Source organism: Homo sapiens, chromosome 1, assembly GCF_000001405.40.
Source record: "Homo sapiens chromosome 1, GRCh38.p14 Primary Assembly".
NCBI lineage: Eukaryota > Metazoa > Chordata > Mammalia > Primates > Hominidae > Homo > Homo sapiens.
Genome location: NC_000001.11, coordinates 36,035,842 through 36,055,368, shown reverse-complemented (window position 1 = coordinate 36,055,368; position 19,527 = coordinate 36,035,842). Strand labels below are relative to the sequence as shown.

Genomic DNA, 19,527 nt, shown 5'->3' with positions numbered 1-19,527 from the left:
TAATCTCTCCTTTGAATTAATGTAGTAAAACAACTAAGTTACTACATGATTCTATTACTAATGAGCCTAGACAATATATTTCAATAGGAAACCTTGGGCAGTCAGTTCTGTCATCATTTTTCACATGGATCACTGACTCCGCTAATAGCTTGTGGAACTTGAAAATCCTACCATGCAGACAATATTGGGATTTGGGTGAGAACCTGTTATGCTTTTATATTACCTGTCATGTTCTTTGTCCACAAGATGATATCTGGCTCTAAATGCTACCAGGTGAGCATAATACGCTGGTGCAGGTATAGAAACAGATCGTGTACAGCGTACGTAAGTGTGGCAGAGCTGGTAAGTTAGCAGCTGAAGTTCATCTGCAGTAAAGCAGTTATCATCCCATAAAACATGATAGTGTGAAGGACGACTGGTACCCTATAGAGAAGGCAATGACATACACTGTTGAATTTTGAACTCTTTTTGTTTTGTTTTGTTTTTTGAGACAAAGTCTTGCTCTGTCACCCAGGCTGAAGTGCAATGGCGTGATCTCAGATCACTGCAACCTCCACCTCTGGGGCTCAAAAGATTCTAGTGCCTCTGCCTCCCCAGTAGCTGGGATTACAGGCATGTGTGATCATGCCCAGCTAATTTTTTGTATTTTTAGTAGGGACAGGGTTTTGCCATGTTGGTCAGGCTGGTCTCAAACTCCTGACCTTAAACGATCTGCCTGCCTCAGCCTCCCAAAGTGCTGGAATTACAGGCGTGAGCTACTGTGCTGAGCCCAATTTTGAACTTTTTAATAAATATTTAATACCAAGTCACATAAAAAACAGGTTTGGCACTTTGGGAGGTTAAAGTGGGAGGGTAGCTTGAGGCCAGGAGTTCAAGACCAGCCTGCACAACACAGTGAGGCTCCATCTCCACAAAAGGTAAAAAAAAAATTAGCCAGATGTGGTGGCATGCACCTGTAGTCCCAGCTACTTGGGAGGCTGAGGCAGGCAGATCACTTGAGCCCAGGAGGTCAAGGCTGCAGTGAACTATGATCCCATCATTGCACTCCAGCCTGGGTGACATAGTGAAACTTTGTCTCAATAAATAAATAAATGAAATGAAATAAAATAAAATAGAAAAGTAAAGCTGGGAAGATGTATAAAGAACAGTTTTTAGTCTCTGTGAAATATTATTGGTTATTTGCTGACTACAGCAGAAGTTTCAAACTGATATCCTAAAGGAAATCTGTTCAGGCTGGGCATGGTGGCTCATGCTTATAGTCTCAGCACTTTGGGGAGGCTGAGGTGGGAGGACAGCTCAAGCCCAGGAGTTTGTGACTAGCCTAGGCAACATAGGAAGACCTCATCTCTACAAAAAGATTTAAAAAATTAGCCAGGTGTGGGCCAGATGTGGTGGAGATCAAGACCATCCTGGCTAATATGGTGAAACCCCATCTCTACTAAAAATACAAAAATTAGCTAGGCGTGGTGATGCGTGCCTGTAAGCCCAGCTACTCAGGAGGCTGAGGCAGGAGAATCGCTTGAACCAGGGAGTTGGAGGTTGCAGTGAGCCGAGATCGCACCACTGCACTTCAGCCTGGTGACAGAGCGAGACTGTCTCAAAAAAAAAAAAAAAAAAAAAAAATTAGCCAGGTGTGGTGGTGTGGACCTGTAGTCCCAGCTAGGTGGGAGGCTGAGGCAGGAAGATTGCTGAGCTCAGGAAGTCAAGGCTGCAGTGAGTGGTGATTGTGCCACTGCACTCCAGCCTGGGCAACACAGCAAGACCCTGTCTCAAATAAATAATAAAACAAAAATAGGCTGGGTGTGGTGGCTCACACCTGTAATCCCAGCACTTTGGGAGGACAAGGTAGGTGGATCGAACAAGAGTTCGAGACCAGCCTGCCCAACATGGCAAAACCCCCTCTCTACTACAAATACAAAAAATGAGCTGGGTGTAGTGGCATGTGCCTGTAGTCCAGCTACTTGGGAGGGTGAGGCAGGAGAATCTCTTTAACCTGGGAGGTGGAGGTTGCAGTAAGCCGTGACTGCACCAGTGCACTCCAGCCTGGGTGACAGAGCGAGACTCCATCTCAAAAAGTAAATAAATAAATAAAAATAAAAATTTTAAAAGTTAAAAAAAAAAAGGAAAACTGTTCCCTAAGGTTTCTGATTAAATATATCGGAGAAATATTTCTATCTTGAAGATTCATAATGGTCATTTGCATATCAATGGTCTTCAAAAGTTCCGTAATAAAAAAAATCTGTTTAACAGCATTTCTAAAACTTAACTTGAAGAGAGAATCTTTCTCCTCTGTGATTTTTAAAATACAGTCATCTGGATGCAATGTGGTATTTATTAAATACTGGAGGAAACACTAGGTTAAAATATATAAACCAGTCATATAGGATTTATTTATTTATTTATTTAGAGACAGGGTCTGCAGTCTCGACCTCCCAGGCTCAGGTGATCCTCCCCTCAGCCTCCGGAGTAGCTGGGACTACAGGCACCTACCACCACACCCAGCTAATTTTTTTATTTTTTATAGAGATGAGGTTTTGCCATGTTGCCCAGACTGGTCTCCAACTCTTGGGCTGAAGCAATCCACTCGCCTCGGCCTCCCAAAGTGCTGAGATTACAGGCCTGAGCCTGATATATATAGGTTTTAATCCCTAGAAGATACTATTAACTTTTTTTGGCTTTTGTTATTTTTCATGGACACATAATAATTACACATATTTATGAGGTACAGTGTAATATTTTGATACACATATATAATGTATAATGATCAAATCAGGGTAATTAGGATATCTATGCCTCAAACATTGTGCCAGGAAAATTCCAAACCCACTCTCCTGGTTATTTGAAAATATACAATAAGTTGGTAATTACAGCCATCCTATAGTGCTATAGAATATTAGAACTTATTCCTCCTATCTAGTTGTAATTTTGTATCTGTTAACCAGTCTTTGGTAATCCCCCTCCCTTTCCTGCCTCTAGTAACTACTATTTTACTCTCTACTTCTATGACATCAACTTTTATAGCTTCCACCAGTGAGATCATGCAGTATATATCTCTCTGTGGTTGGTTTATTTCATGTAACATAATGTCCTCCAGACTCATCCATGTTGCCACAAATGACAGAATTTCATTCTTTTTTTGTGGCTAAATAGTATTTCATTGTGTATAAATACCATATTTTCTTCATTCATCTGTTGAGGGACACTTAGGTTGATTCCATATCTTGCCTATTGTAATAGTACTGCAATAAACATGGGGATGCAGATATCTTCTTGACACACTGTTTCCTTTCCTTTGCATATATACTCAGTAGTGGGATGGCTGGATCATATGGTAGTTTTAATTTCAGTTTTATGAGGAACTTCCATACTGATTTCCCTAATGGCTGTACTAATGTACATTGCCACCAATAGTGCATATGAGTTCCCCTTTCTCTGCATTCTTTGTCTTTTTGATAATGACTATATTAATTTGAGTGAGATGATATCTCATTGTGATTTTAATTGGCATTCCCCTGGTGATTATTGATGTTGAGCATTTTTTCATATACCTCTTGATCGTCTCAATTACTCTCTTGAGACATTTGCCTATTTTAAAATCAAATTATTATTATTATTTTTGCTGTTGAGTTGTTTGAGTTCTTTGGATATCCTGGATATTAATACCTTGTTTTTTTGAGACAGAGTCTTGTTCTGTTGCCCAGGCTCATTGCAGCCTTGCCCTTCTGGGCTCCAGTGATCCTCCCACCTCTGCCTCCTGAGTAGCTGGGACCACAGGTACATGTCAGCACGTCCAGCTAATTTTTTTATTTTTTGTAGAGATGAGGTCTCACTATGTTGCCCAGGCTTGTCTTGAACTTGTGGGCTCAAGCAGTCCTCCTGCCTCAGCCTCCTGAGAAGCTGGGATTACAGGCATGTACCATGTGCCCAGCCGTTTCTATGTTTTTGATGTAAATGTTTATTGCTATAAACTTCCCTCTGAATTCTGTTTTTGCTCTATCCCACAGGGTTTGGAATGTTGTATTTCTATTTTCATTTGTTCCAAGAAATTTTAAAAATTTCTTCTTAATTTCTTCATTGACCAGTCACTGGTTGTTCAGGAGCATACTGTTTAATTTCCATGTAAAAGATATTTGAGGCCGGGCATGGTAACTCATGACTGTAATCCTAGTACTTTGGGAGGCCGAGGCAGGCGGATCATTTGAGGTCAGGAGTTCGAGACCAGCCTGGCCAACATTAAATCAAAAAAATAATTGAGGCTGGGTGCAGTGGCTAACATCTGTAATCCCAGCACTTTGGGAGGCCAAGGTAGGTGGACTGCTTAAACTCAGCCTGGGTAACATAGTGAAAAACCTTGTCTCTACAAAAAATGTCAAAATTAGCCAGGCATGGTGGCATGTGTCTGTGGCCCTAGCTACTCGGGAGGCTGATGTGGGAGGATCACTTGAGCCCAGGAGGCGAAGGTTCCTGTGAGCCATGATCTCACCAGAGTGAGACCCTGTCTCAAACAAAACAAAACAAAACAAAACAAAACAAAACGAAAGAAATCAAATCAAGTATCTTTTTTTTTTTTTTTTTTTGAGATAGAGTCCCACTCAGTCACCCAGGCTGGAGTGTGCAATGGTGTGATCTCGGCTCTGCAATCTCTGCCTCCTGGGTTCAAGCGATTCTCCTGCCTCAGCCTCTTGAGTAGCTGGGATTATAGGCGCCCGCCACCACACCCGGCTAATTTTTGTATTTTTAGTAGAGACGGGGTTTTGCCATGTTGGCCAGGCTGGTCACGAACTCCTGACCTCAAGTGATCCACCTGCCTCAGCCTCCCAAAGTGCTGGGATTACAGGCGTGAGCTACCACACCCGGCAATTATTTAATTTAATTTATTTATTTTGAGACAGTCTCACTCTGTCGCCCAGGCTGGAGTGCAGTGGCGTGATCTTGGTTTACTGCAACCTCCACCTTCTAGGTTCAAGCGATTCTCTTGCCTCAGCCTCCTGAGTAGCTGGGATTACAGGCATGTGCCACCACTCCTGGCTAATTTTTGTATTTTTAGTAGAGGTGGGGTTTCATCATGTTGGCCAGGGTGGTCTTGAACTCCTGACCTCAAGTGATCCACTCACCTTGGCCTCCCAAAGTACTGGGATTATAGGCATGAGCCACCACACCTGACCGCCTCCATTATTTTAAATTTGTTGAAATTTGTTTTGTGGCCTAACATGTGGTCTATCCTGGTGAATGTTCCATGTGCTGAGAAAATAATGTATATTCTGCAGCTGCTGGATGAAATGCTTTGTATATATTTGTTAGGTCCATTTGGTCTAAAGTGTATTTTAAATCCAATGTTTCTTTGTTGATTTTCTGTCTAGATGATCTGTCAAGCGCTGACAGTGGGGTGTTGAAGTTCTCAACTACTATTATTGGAGTCTCCTTCTTTCTTTAGAGCTAATAATACTTGCTTTATATTATATATCTGGATGCTCCAGTGTTGGCTGCATATATATTTACAACTGTTATATCCTCTTGGTAAATTGATCCCTTTAGCATTATATAATGACCTTCTTTGTCTCATTTTATAGTTTTTGACTTAAAGTCTGTTTTGTCTAACTTAAATACAGCTACTCCTGCTTGCATTTCTTTTCCGCTTGCATGGAATGAATGACTTTCTCCATCTCTTCACTTTCAGTTTATATGTGTCTTTACAGGTGAAGTGAATTTCTCATAGGCAGCATATATTTGGATTGTTAAAAAATTCAGTATTTTAAATATAGGAGGTACATGTGAGATTTGTTACATGGGTATATTACACCCAGATGGTGAGCTTAGCACCCAGTAGTTTTTCTTTTCTTTTTTTTTTTTTTGAGATAGAGCCTTGCTCTGTCGCCAGGTTGGAGTGCAGTGGCGCAATCTCGGCTCACTACAACCTCTGCCTCCTGAGTTCAAGTGATCCTCCTGCCTCAGCCTCCCAAGTAGCTGGTACTACAGGTGCGTGCCACCATGCCTGGCTAATTTTTGTATTTTTAGTAGAGATGGGGTTTCACCATGTTGGCCAAGACAGTCTTGATCTCTTGACCTTGTGATTCACCGGCCTTGGCCTCCCAAAGTGCTGGGATTACAGGCGTGAGCCACTGCACCCAGCCCCAATAGAATTTTTCAACCCATCCCCCCTGCCCTCCTCTCTAGTAGTCCACAGTGTTTATTATTCCCATGTTATGTCCATGTGTGCTCAATGTTTAGCTCCCACTTTTAAGTGAGAGCATGCAGTATTTGGTTTTCTGTTCCTGTGTTAGTTTGCTTAGGATTATGACCTTCAGCTCCATCTATGTTGCTGTAAAGGATATGGTTTCATTCTTTTAAAAAATTCATTCAGTGGCTGGGCTTGGTGGCTCACGCCAGTAATCCCAGCACTTTGGAAGGATGAGGCAGGTGGATTGCTTGAGCTCTGGATTCAAGACCAGTCTGGGCAACATAGTGATATCCCGTCTCTACAAAAATACAAAAATAAGCCAGGTGTGGTGATGCATGCCTTGTGTGGTGATGCATGCCTGTAGTCCCAGCCATGCAGGAGGCTGGGGCAAGAGGATCGCCTGAGCCCAGGAGGCAGAGGTTGCAGTGAGTTGAGATTGCACCACTGTACTCCAGCCTGGAAACCAGAGTGAGAAAAAAATTCATTTAGCCAGTCTACATCTTTTCAGTGGGCAATTTAATTTGTTTACCTTCAGAGTTACTACTGATAGGTGAAGGCCTATTCCTGTCATTTTGTTAATTGTTTTCTGCTTGTTTTCTATATCCTTTCTTCCTTTCTTCTTATTATCATGGTGGGTTGGTGGTTTTCTGTAGAGCAACAAGGTTTGAATCTTTTCTGTTTCTTTCTTGTGTATCTGTTCTACCAGTGAGTTTTATACTGTTGTTTCCATAATAATGATTATTGACTTTTTGCCTCCCTCGAACATTTCCTATAGGTCGAATCTAGTGGTGATAAATGTCCTCAGTTTATGCATGTCTCGGAAATACTATTTCTCCCTCATTTCTAAAAGTTAGCTTTGCTGGAAATAGGATTCTTATTGATTGATTGATTGATTGATTGAATGATTGAGACAGGGTCTCACTCCGTTGCCCAGGCTGGAGTACAGTGGCACAATCATAGCTCACTGCAACCTCTGCCTCCTGAGCTCACATGATCCTCTACTGGGTACAGCATTCTTGGCTGACAATTTTTTTTTTCAGCCCTTTGAATATATCATCTCAATCTCTCCAGGCCTATAAGGTTTCTGTGGAGAAATCTGCTGTTAGTTTAATGAAGATTCTAAGTGACTTGATGCTTTTCTGTTGTTTTTAGAATTCTGTCTGTCCTTGACTTGACAATTTGACTACAATGTTCCTTGGGAAGAACCTTTTAGGGTTCGATCTGTTTGGAGACTTTTGAGCCTCCTAGATCTAGATGTCTATATTTCTCCCCAGATTTGGGAAGTTTTCAGCTATTATTTCTTTTTTTTTTGAGACAGGGCCTCACTCTGTCATCCCAGGCTAGAGTGTAGTGGTGTGATCTCAGCTCGTTGCAGCCTCAACCTCCCCGGCTCAAGTGATCCTCCTGCCTCAGTCCCGAGTAGCTGGGACTACAGGTGCATGCCACCATGCCTGGCTAATTTTTGTATTTTTTGTAGGGATGGGGTATCACCATGTTGCCCAGGCTGGACTCAAAACTCATGAGCAAAAGCGGTCTGCCCACCTTGGCCTCCCAAAGTGTTGGGATTACAGGTGTAAGCCACCATGCCCAACCTAATATTTCATTAAGCAGATTTTTCTACACCTTTCCCTTTCTCTTCTCCTTCTGGAACTCCCATAATACAAATATTTATTTGCTTACTGGTGTTTCATAAGTCTCAGAGGCGCTCTTCACTCTTTTTCATTCTTACTTCTTTTTTTTTTCTGACTCCGATTTTTTTTTCAAATGACCTGTCTTCAAGTTCAGAGATTCTTCTGCTTGATCAAATCTGCTGTTGAAGCTCTCTATTATATTTTGTATTTTCCATTGAATTCTTCAGCTGAAGATTTCTGTTTGGTTCTTTTTAAATTTCTATCTTTTTGTTGAATTTCTTGTTCATATTGTGAATTGCTTTCCCGATCTTTTTTTTAGGCAGAGTTTCGCTCTTGTTGCCCAGGCCGGAGTGCAGTGGCGTGATCTCGGCTCACTGCAACCTCCACCTCCCAGGTTCAAGCAATTCTCCTGCCTCAGCCTCTCGAGTAGCTGGGATTATAGGCATGTGCCACCACCCCAGCTAATTTTGTATTTTTAATACAGACAAGTTTTCTCCATGTTGGTCAGGCTGGTCTTGAACTCCCGACCTCAGGTGTTCTGCCTGCCTCGGCCTCCCAAAGTAATGAGATTACAGGCGTGAGCCACTGCGGCCGGCCTGCTTTCCCGATTTTGTTGAGTTGTCTATTGGTATTTTCTTGTATCTCAATATATTTGGGCTATCCCAATATCTATGGGATACAGAGCTGCTCAGATCTTCCAGGGCACCAATTCCCCAGTGCCAGTTCAGCTCAGGCATGGGGCTATGCCTGTTCTGGGTGGCCCAGACATGGTTTCCCTGATATGCAGGGCACTGCTTCAGCTTAGGTACTGGAGTGTGTGACTGCTCTGGATGACTAAGGCACTGCTTAGTACATTGAGATGCAATGTACTCCTTCAATTTAGGCACTGGAGAGGTATGACCTCTTTTTTTTTTTTTTTTTTTTTTTTTTTTTTTTAAATAGAGACTGAGTCTCACTCTGTTGCCCAGGCTGGAGTAGCTGGGACTACAGGCGCGCGCCATGACGTCCAACTAATTTGTTTTGTAGTTTTAGTAGAGACAGGGTTCCACCATGTTGGCCAGGCTGTTCTCAAACTCCTGACCTCAGGTGATATGCCCGCCTCGGCCTCCCGAAGTGCTGGGATTACAGGTGTGAGCCACCGCACCTGGCCGAGGTATGATCTCTTTAAATGGCCAAGGCACAAGGTGTAACAGGTGCTTGCAGCTCGACAGGGCTGTCAGGCCACTGGGCTGGAGTAATTTGGTGATAGCATAGCCTTAACAATAAAGAGGAGTCATGGCTACTTGCCCCTGGAGCAAGACATATCCCAGCTATAGTTCCACTTCCAAGATGGAGTAGTGCAGTAGCTGCTTGGACCACAGTGGGTGGAGCACAGTATCAGCTCCTTTTCTCGGGTTGGGAGGGTACACTTATGTGGACTCCAGGCAACTCCCCAAGATGGGATTAGTGCCTAAGAACAGTGCTGGGGACCCCAGTGTAGGTGTCCAAGGTGTTGATGGGGATTGCTGGGATCCTCTTGCTTATCTGTTCACTGCAGGGAGAAGTTCCTCCTGGTTCCCAGCTGATCCTGATTTGGAGATGGAGTAGTGGAGGCTCAGTGTTTCTTTCTGTTCTCTGTGTGGTCATCCCGAGTTTCTGTGCTCACCAGGGTTTCTGTTACTCCTCTGATGCACTCCAGGGCTCTCCCTCAGTTATTTTCATTAAAATATAGTTGTTTGGCCCAGTGCAGTGATTCATGCCTACAATCCCAGCACTTTGAGAGGCTGAGGCAAGTGGATCGCCGGAGGTCAGGAGTTCAAGACCATCCTGGCCAACATGGTGAAACCTCATCTCTACTAAAAATATAAAAATTAGCCGCGTGTGGTGGCAGAAGCCTATAATTCCAGCTACTCCGGAGGCTGAGGCAGAAGAATCGCTTGAACCTGGGAGGTGGAGATTGCAGTGAGCTGAGATCACGCCATTACACTCTAGCCTGGGATCACGCCATTACACTCTAGCGTGGGCGACAAAAGCAAAACTCCATCTCAAAAAAAAAAAAGGTCGGACATGGTGGCTCATGTCTGTAATCCCAGCACTTTGGTAGGCTGAGGTGGGCGGATTGCCTGAGGTCAGGAGTTCGACACCAGCCTGGCCATCATGGTGAAATCCCATCTCTACTAAAAATGCAAAAATTAGCTCGGCATGGTGGTGGGTGCCTGTAGTCCCAGCTACTTGGGAGGCTGAGGCAGGAGAATTGCTTGAACCTGGGAGACAGAGGTTGCAGTGAGCCAAGATCACACTACTGTACTCCAGCCTGGGTGACAGAGTGAGACTCCGTTAAAAAAAAAAAATGTAGTTGTTTATCTGTTTTTCTGGCTTTCTTTGTGAGGGGAGCAAGCACTAGGGGCTTCTAGTCAGCCATCTTGCTGACATCACTTCCTCTGGACCTCCCATTAACCACCAACCCTGAAAATGTACAACATTAATTGTAAAGAGGAGCTGATATAAGAACATGGATAAATGAGTCAGACAATAATTTAAAGCCATGAATCTGAAACAGGTTCGTATATGTGGGACATATAAAGCTATAAGATACAGAGCTGTATGGTAAGGTACATCTGGAAATTTCTATCTTAATCAATAATGGCAAGTAACCTAAAATAGTTTTGGGTTATAGACTCTCAGACATCCTGGGAATGTCAGTTTACTTTTTGTTGTTGGAAAGTTTGAGATGCACTGATTTAAAGCTTATGTTCCACCAAGTAAAGCTAACACATTAATGAAAAGGTTTTCTGGAAAGAATAAGAAAAACTTTTTAAATTATTTAACTGAAACTTAAGGCCAGGTGCAGTGGCTCAAGCCTGTAATCCCCGCACTTTGGGAGGCCAAGGTGGGCGGATTACTTGAGGTCAGGAGTTTGAGACCAGCCTGGCCAACATGGTGAAACCCTGTCTCTACTAGAAAAAATAAAAATAAAAAAATTACTGGGTGTGGTGGCACCCAGTAATCTCAGTCTGTAATCCCAGCTACTAGGGAGGCTGAGGCATGAGAGTCACTTGAACCTGGGAGGCGGAGCTTGCAGTGAGCCGAGATCATGCCACTGTACTCCAGCCTGGGCAACAGAGTGAGACTCTGTCTCAAAAACAAACAAACAAACAAACAAAACAAAACAACAACAACAACAAAAAAAAACTAAAGCTGTAATTCTACAATTAAATTTTTTTTTATTTTTTGAGACAAGGTCTGGCTCCGTCACCTAGCCTGGAGTGCAGTGGCATGATTTTGGCTCATGGCAACCTCCCTCTGCCTCCGCGCTCAAGTGATCCTCCCACGACAGCCTCCTGAATAGCTGAGACTACAGGCACGTGCTACCACACCTGGCTAATTTTTATATTTTTTGTAGAGACGGGGTTTCTCTATGTTGCCCAGGCTGGTCTCAAACTCCTGAACTCAAGCAATCTGCCCATCTCAGCCTCCCAAAGTGTTGGAATTATAGGCGTGAGCCACCATGCCCAGCCCAATTAAACTCTTTCACATGCTTAATACTACTAGTACATGTCAAAGTTTTCTATAAAATGTTATCGTCATTAGCTGAGTGTGGAGGCCTGTTGTCCCAACTACTTGGGAGGCTGAGGTGGGAGGACTGCTTGAGCCCAAGAGTTCTAGTCTAGCCTGAGCAAAATAGTGCTTTCTCTTTCTCTCTCTCTCTTTTTTTTTTAAAGATGCATATGCTAAAGGAACAATCAGGTACTTTCACATTTTTTAACATTTTAGTGAAATTAAGGGCCTGTTTTAGGGAGATTCATTCTATTAAACTACTTATATTCTGGTATTTTCATAAAAATAAGTTCCTAAGCCCCTCTCAAGGTAAGGAAAGGGAAGACATTTGTTTACTGAAAGTTTCATCTAATTTCATGTGGAAACAATTTGGAATGCAAAGAGTATTTCTTTATCCTTTTTCTGAGATTTAAAAAATACACGTAAGAATGACAGTTCTTGAATTAAAATATTTTACCCAAAGTGTAGGCTTACCTGTATTCCAGCATGGCTACAGAGGTAAAAATCGAACTCATATGGGTGTGTAATGTCTGTATCAACTGTTGTTCCAGCTGGGATATTGCCACTTCTTCCAACCTAGATTTGTTTGGTTAAAGTTTAAACAAACAAGAAAAAGGTAAAAATATATCTGAAAGCACTTTAAAAAATGTATGAATACATAGGCTGATCCTACATTTCACTACTTTCACCTTGAAATATGACTTAAGCAGTCATTCAGAGCAGACTACGCAGGTCCTAGTTCCTATTCTTACATGTTGCTGAAAGTGAGCGCTGATACACAACAAAACCTAATACAGTCTCTACTACTGCTTAGCTGATAGTTGACCCCACTATGGGTGGAAGACACTAAAAAAAATTTTTTTTAAATTAACTTAAAGTGCTCCAATTTATGGTACCTGTGCATAGTAGGTATTCTTGAACGTGTGATTTATGAAGATCAGCATTTACCTTGGAGAAAACTAGATGTTTAGAGAGAGAGAATGCTGACAAGATCAACAACAGTCACACCATTTGTTAACCATTTATGGATCAGGCACTTTGAACACATTATTTCTAAAACCTGGTAACAATCCTGCAAGTTAGGGATTATTTCCATTTGTTTAGGGAAATAAAGGCTCAGGAATACAAAATAATTTGCTCAATAGCACACAATAAAGGGCAGAACTGGGATTCAAACAATGAAATAATTGCAAAGGCCTTATTCCTTTTATTTCATACTATCAGTTTCAACATCTTGTAAGAGGACACCATGATTTTCTCTGAGTGGATATAATATAACTGAAATGACCCAAAATTCTTGATGATACAAGCTCCTTATAAAACACTTAAAAATGTTTATTATACCCACCTCCACCGCCTTATCCCAACACATTTAAAATCATTAACTGTAAGTCTAGGTTTACAAGGCTAGCAAATCAGAAACTATTTTACTGACTCAGATAATATTTTTGCCACGTGAGTGACTGTTATAAGGTAGTACCTTGAATTATAGTGGTGTGGACCAACCAGCTTCACTTTACCAAGCACAAAACAAAACAGTTCATAATCTACTAAATTATGCCTGGTCCTAAAAAAATACTTAACTCTAATAAATTAGCAACACGTAAATCTTCTAATTAATATATACAAAAAGTTGTAGGCTGGGTGTGATGGCTCACACCTATAATCCTAGCACTTTGGGAGGCCGAGGTGGGCGGATCATTTGAAACCAGGAGTTTGTGACCAGCCTGGCCAACATGGTGAAATCCTGCCTCTAATAAGACTACAAAAATTAGCCGGGTGTGGTGGCACATGCCTGTAATCCCAGCTACTCAGGAGGCTGAGGCCTGACAATCACTTGAACCCAGGAGGTGGGGGCTGCAGTGAGCCAAAGTCATGCCACTGCACTCCAGCCTGGGCAACAGAGCAAAACTGTCAAAAAAAACAAAAACAAAAAAATACAACTATCTCATAATCTTGTTGGTGAGGATTAAATTGATGAAATTTATAAGCAATACTTAGAACAATATCTATTATTATTTCTTCTTCTCTATTCTACCACTATCACCACCACTCTGCAGCTAGCCAAACTTTATTTATTAATTTTTTTTTGTTCTCATCACTCTACTAATGAGAGCTAGCCAATCTTTACTGAGTACTTAGTGTGGGCCAAGCCCTGTTCTAAGTGCATTACGTATTTTATTTAATTCTCCCGACAACCCAAATAAGGTAGATATTAATATTATCCAATCTTGCTAAGAAATAAACAGACACAGAGATGTTAAGTTGCTTGCCCAAAGGAATACAGTGAGTATGTATGGCAAAGAAAAACACCCCTCTCTTAGTCCTTTCTATCAAATCCCTTTCTCAAGGGGAAACAACACTTGGTATCATTAGATTTCTCTGCTCCAAGATTTACAGGATGGGGGCAGATGTGATCAGAGCACTGAAAATGACAGTAAGACTGCTGTCTTGCTGCACACAGATAAGAAAACATATTTCTGGCCGGGCGCAGTGGCTCACACCTGTAATCCCAGCACTTTGGCAGGCCGAGGCAGGCGGATCACAAAGTGAGGAGATCGAGACCGTCCTGGCTAACACGGTGAAACCCTGTCTCTACTAAAAATACAAAAAATTAGCCGGGCATGGTGGCAGGCGCCTGTAGTCCCAGCTACTCAGGAGGCTGAGGCAGAAGAATGGCGTGAACCTGGGAGGCGGAGCTTGCAGCGAGCTGAGATCGCGCCACCGCACTCCAACCTGGGCGACAGAGTGAGACTCCGTCTCAAAAAAAAAAAAAAAAAAAAAAAAGAAAACATATTTCCTTAGGTATTTATACCTCTCTTTCCTTCCTAATTATAAAAAATATACATTCACATTATAAAATGCATAAAATAATTCTGTGAACTTTAAAGGAAACATGGCTAAAAGTTAGTTTGTATAAATTTCCACTTTTTTTTTTTTTTTTTTTTTTGAGATGGAGTTTTGCTCTCTTGCCCAGGCTGGAGTACAGTGGCACCATCTCGGCTCACTGCAACCTCTGCCTCCTGGGTTCAAGTGATTCTCCTGCCTCAGTCTCCCGAGTAGCTGGGATTACAGATGTGCGCCACCACACCTGGCTATTTTTTGTATTTTTAGTAGAGACAGGGTTTCACCGTGTTGGCCAGGCTGGTCTTGAACTCCTGACCTCAAGTGATCTGCCTGCCTTGGCCTCCCAAGGTGCTGGAATTACAGGTGTGAGCCACTGTGCCTGGCCTGAATTTCCACTTTTTTAAAAAACTAATTTGTATGAGATATTTTAAAAAGAGAATGTACTGTTTTTTCTGAAGATTTTAGGAAAATATGAATAGAAGAATAATTTTAAAACCATGAGTTTCTTCACAACAAAAAAGTAGAATGAGATTTTGAATATTTGGAGTGTGACTAGAAATTCTAGAAAGTTAAAAATAATCTATTTTGATGCTTCTATACTCATAATGTAATTGTTGAAATTTGCTACTATATATTGGAAATCCTGCTGTTGGCAGAGGGCCCTTGTTGAATGCTCTATGAACTATGTTGGATAAGCTTGGTTTATAACAGTATTACAACAGAGGTGAGATTACCCTTTCTGTCCTATCAGCACAAAATAATCGAGTGTGATGTCTCTTCTGAACTACAATGTAGGTTATTCCAGGTTGATAGTCTTTCTCCAAACTGATGCAGGCTTCTCGAATTGCTAGTAGTTCATAATATAATACCTAGAGAATATGAAATGGAAAGATTCAATATAGTCAGCTATTTGTTTTTATATACTTCAAAGTAGGATAATGATTTAATCTCAGGATTCCTTAATTTCACCACTCTATAGCTAATAGATTCCATTTTAACGATTATTAGAACATGGTCTTAGCAAGCAAGGCATACACATTCGTAGTGAACATTTTCAAAAAGACAATCTAACAAAACACCAAGTTTTGACTTGGGGAACTCTAACAAGGTTTTTAACTCTAGAACTAGACACCATATTATAAACACAATATCTGATTTCACCATAGTCTGATGAGATTCTAGGTAACCAACCTGCCTAAACTGCCCCTCTGAAACACCATCCCGATAAAAGATGATACGAGTAGGCTTGAACCGAGTTGACTTATAAAATTGAATAAGAAGTTCCCGGACCATGGAGGCCAAGTCCTGGATGATCTCCTGTCGGGGTCTCTGAACTCTTACTGTGGCACAGTATCTGCTTGGGTGTGCATCCATACTACCTACAACCTAGGTTAGAAAAAGTAAAATAAATAAATAAATAAATAAAAATAAATGATAATCAAAATTACATGAATTTCATTTACATTTTTATTTTACTGTAACCTGTTCATCACTGTTTACTTTGAAAGTAATCAAAAATAGTAATTCTGAGTTGGGTATGACGGCATGTGCCTATAGTCCCAGCTACTCAGGAAGCTGAGGCAGGAGGATCACTTGTGCCCAGGAATTTAAGGCCAGCCTGGGCAAAATAGCAAGACCCCATCTCTCTCTCTTTCTCTCTTTTTTTTTTTTTTTTTTTTTTTTGAGACGCAGTCTTGCTCTGTCATCAGCCTGGAGTGCAGTGGCACAATCTCGGCTCACTGCAACCTGCACCTCCTGGGTTCAAGCGATTCTCCTGCCTCAGCCTCCAGAGTAGCTGGGACTACAGGTGTGCACCACCACCCCCAGCTAATTTTTGTATTTTTAGTAGAGATGGGGTTTCACCATGTTGGCCAGGATGGTCTTGATATCTTGACCTCGTGATCCGTCTGCGTTGGCCTCCCAAAGTGCTGGGATTACAGGCATGAGCCACCGCACCCAGCCTACCCCATCTTTTTAAAAAATTAAAAAGAATAGTACTTCCCGTTGAAGAACAGAATAAAACACCTAGTATAGGGTAAAAAACTATTTTCCTATAACTAGGCTGAACTATACATTTAACAATTAGATTCTTTGTGTTGTTGGTAGACTTAAAGATTAGTAAGGAAAGAAAAAGACAAAAAGATGTGTATAAGAGAATAAGAGAAAAGAAATAAGAAAAAACAAGGACCAATTCAAACCACTGATTTTTCTTCCTATCTCTTCCACTTTAGCAACCTATCTCAGAAGCCATACTTAAGACTTTAGCTTCATCTTAGAACTGTTACGCTTCATAAATTTTAAAATCAGAATTTTCCCTCTTGGCCTGAATCTATACAGTCTTATTGAGCTGCATTTGTGTTCTGTATCTGGTCCTCAGAGAAGTTAATCTTGGTTTTGAAACTAGCTATATTAATTTCTCTTTCTGTGTCTAATATTGTTATGTCTTTGGAGAAGAGACCTCAAAGCATGAACTTATAACATTATTCTGATCAGAGCCTAGAGCTGGTCACTGCCTCCAGACCCTTTCTTCCAGTTAACCTATACCAAAGTCATGCTTCAAAAATGGAACTTTGACCATTTCTTTCCCTTGAAAGGTATCTCGCTACTTAAGAATAAATCCAGGCCGGGCACGGTAGCTCACGCCTGTAATCCCAGAACTTTGGGAGGCCGAGGTGGGCGAATCACAAGGTCAGGAGATCAAGACCATCCTGGCTAACACAGTGAAACCCCGTCTCTACTAAAAATACAAAAAATTAGCCGGGTGTGTCAGCGTGCACCTGTAGTCCCAGCTACTCAGGAGGCTGAGGCAGGAGGATGGCGTGAACCCGGGAGGCGGAGCTTGCAGTGAGCCAAGATCGCGCCCACTGCATTCCAGCGTGAGCTACAGAGCGAGGCTCTGTCTCAAAAAAAAAAAAAAAAAAAAGAATAAATCCAGACCCTCGGATGGAACAAAATGCCTCACAAAGGCTTCCTAGCCTCATAGCCTGCAGTATACTATGTTCCAATTCCTTGTATTTCTCAACATTCCCAAAACACACCAGGTTCTTGCAACTTAAATGTTGTTACTTCGTTATCATGATAACACCTATTATACTATGTGGCACTCATTACTTACTTAGTTTCTCACACTACTCTCTAAGTTCTTGGAGATAGAAGCCATATAGTGAAAAAGAATCAACCAATAAATTCTATTTACAAGACTTCTGAGAACCACAAAAGAAAGTGGGTATTTGGTAGAAACGGATTTAGTAGAAAAAGACAATGACTACCAGAAGTCCAAAGGAATTAAAATATGCTTAAACCTTTGTGGAAAATGACCCAAAGTAGCAAATCCAAGGAAGTCTTTTGAGTTCCTTTCTTTATCATTTTATCATCTATAAGAACACTTTAATGAATGTTAGAGATGACTCAATACAACCACTGAACATTTAAAGAAAATAATTCATGTATAACATTAAAAATACAAAAGCAAGAGAATTAATAGATAAAAATTAATTTCCTTTACTAATGAAAATAGTTTTGAAATCATGAAGTGGAAATTTAAATATTACTATCATTTTCAGGGATGAATTAGATTTATCAGATTCATAAAACAAGATTTATGTGAAGATTATAATGTATCATAGAAAAAATATTAAATCTTTTTTTTTGTTTTGAGATGGGGTCTCCCTCTGTCACCCAGGCTGGAGTGCAGTGGCATGATTTCAGCTCACTGCAACCTCCGCCTCCCGAGTTCAAGTGATTCTCTTGCCTCAGCCTCCCGAATAGCTGGAATTAAAGGCACCCACCACCACGACAGGCTAATTTCGTATTTTTTATACAGATGGGGTTTCACCATGTTGGTCAGGCTGGTCTTGAACTCCTGACGTCAAGCGATCCACCCCCGCCTCAGCCTCCCAAAGTGCTGGGATTCTAGGCGTGAGCCACCGCGCCTGGCCAATTAAATCTTACAGTTTAATTTCTGAAGTTTATTAAATATGCCTAAAAGATGTTCATATTTTCGAAATGTTGGCTATTTGTTAAAATCAAGTGATTTTCAAAATAGGTAAAATATTATCAAGCTTTCTCAAGTTTATAAGAAATACACTTAAACTGAGACAAAAAGGTTACAAACACAGAGAGCAAAGAAATAACAGGCAGATGTTAAAAACAGGAGTGGCAGTAGTAAAATAAAGAATTTGGCTGGGCACGGTAGCTCACACCTGTAATCTCAGCACTCTGGGAGGCCGAAGCAGGTGGACTGACCGAGATCAGGAGTTCAAGACCAGCCTGGCCAACATGGTGAAGCCCCGTCTCTACTAAAAGTACAAAAAATTAGCCGGGCATGGTGGCAGGTGCCTGTAATCCCAGCTACTCGGGAGGCTGAGGCAGGATAATCGCTTGAACCTGGGAGATGAAGGTTGCAGTGAGCCGAGATTGTGTCATTGCACTCTAGCCTGGGCAACAAGATAACTTTGTCTGAAAAAAATAAATAAAATAAAATAAAATAAAAGAATTCAGGTGCAAAGTATTGACCTGGATGAAGGTGGGAGACATTTTATATATAAAAAATGTAATCCACCAAGCTTATATGTAGTGTATCTTTCTATGACAAAGACATTACTGAAATATACAAACAAACTATTCAAAACAACAAAAAGTAACTAAAAATGCATAATCATGGAGAGGTCAAGTAGACAAATTAAAGTATAATACAGAAGATTTGAATAATATAACTAGCAAACTTGATTTAATAGATACATATGGAACTTCCAAACTCCAAACCAGAGAATAATCATTCTTTTCAAAAACCCAAAGAACATTTATGAAAGTTGGCTACAAAGAAAATATTAAAATTCAAAAAGTTGAAACTGCAAAATTGATACTGGTCTGTCAACCTTAGGTAAGATAAACCTGGCTAACACTCACAGCAGCAATAGAAGGCTTCTTTCCATCACCAGCAGGTGGATGAGTGACATCGGCTCCCAAAAAGATCACTGGTTGCTGGAACACAGAAGGTCTTAAACACATTTTGAAAAAGGGTTAGATATTTCATTTTTTCAGTATCCATTTATCTGTTTCACACAATTGCAACGTAACTTCAAGTTATTGACAGCACAGAGGAAGTCCTATGTAATCCAAATTTTTTTTTTTTTTTTTTTTTGAGACGGAGTCTCGCTCTGTCACCCAGGCTGGAGTGCAGTGGCACGATCTCGGCTCACTGCAAGCTCCACCTCCCAAGTTCATGCCATTCTCCTGCCTTAGCCTCCCAAGTAGCTGGGACTACAGGCGCCCGCCACCACACCCGGCTAATTTTTTGTATTTTTTAGTAGAGATGGGGTTTCACCATGTTAG

General features: G+C 41.3%; 1 protein-coding gene across 9 annotated transcripts in view; it reads right to left on the bottom strand.

The window, feature by feature from the left end:
- AGO3 (argonaute RISC catalytic component 3) overlaps window positions 1-19,527 on the bottom strand; it is a 141,783-nt gene that overhangs the window by 17,132 nt on the left and 105,124 nt on the right. For all 9 annotated transcript variants that reach the window (XM_017000523.3, XM_005270575.5, NM_024852.4 and 6 more), the window contains 5 exons: window positions 19,102-19,192; window positions 15,385-15,579; window positions 14,928-15,062; window positions 11,821-11,922; window positions 224-423 (listed from right to left, as the gene is read on the bottom strand). In XM_017000523.3, coding sequence (XP_016856012.1) covers window positions 224-423; window positions 11,821-11,922; window positions 14,928-15,062; window positions 15,385-15,579; window positions 19,102-19,192 — 723 coding nt within the window. The remainder of the gene's footprint in view (window positions 1-223; window positions 424-11,820; window positions 11,923-14,927; window positions 15,063-15,384; window positions 15,580-19,101; window positions 19,193-19,527) is intronic.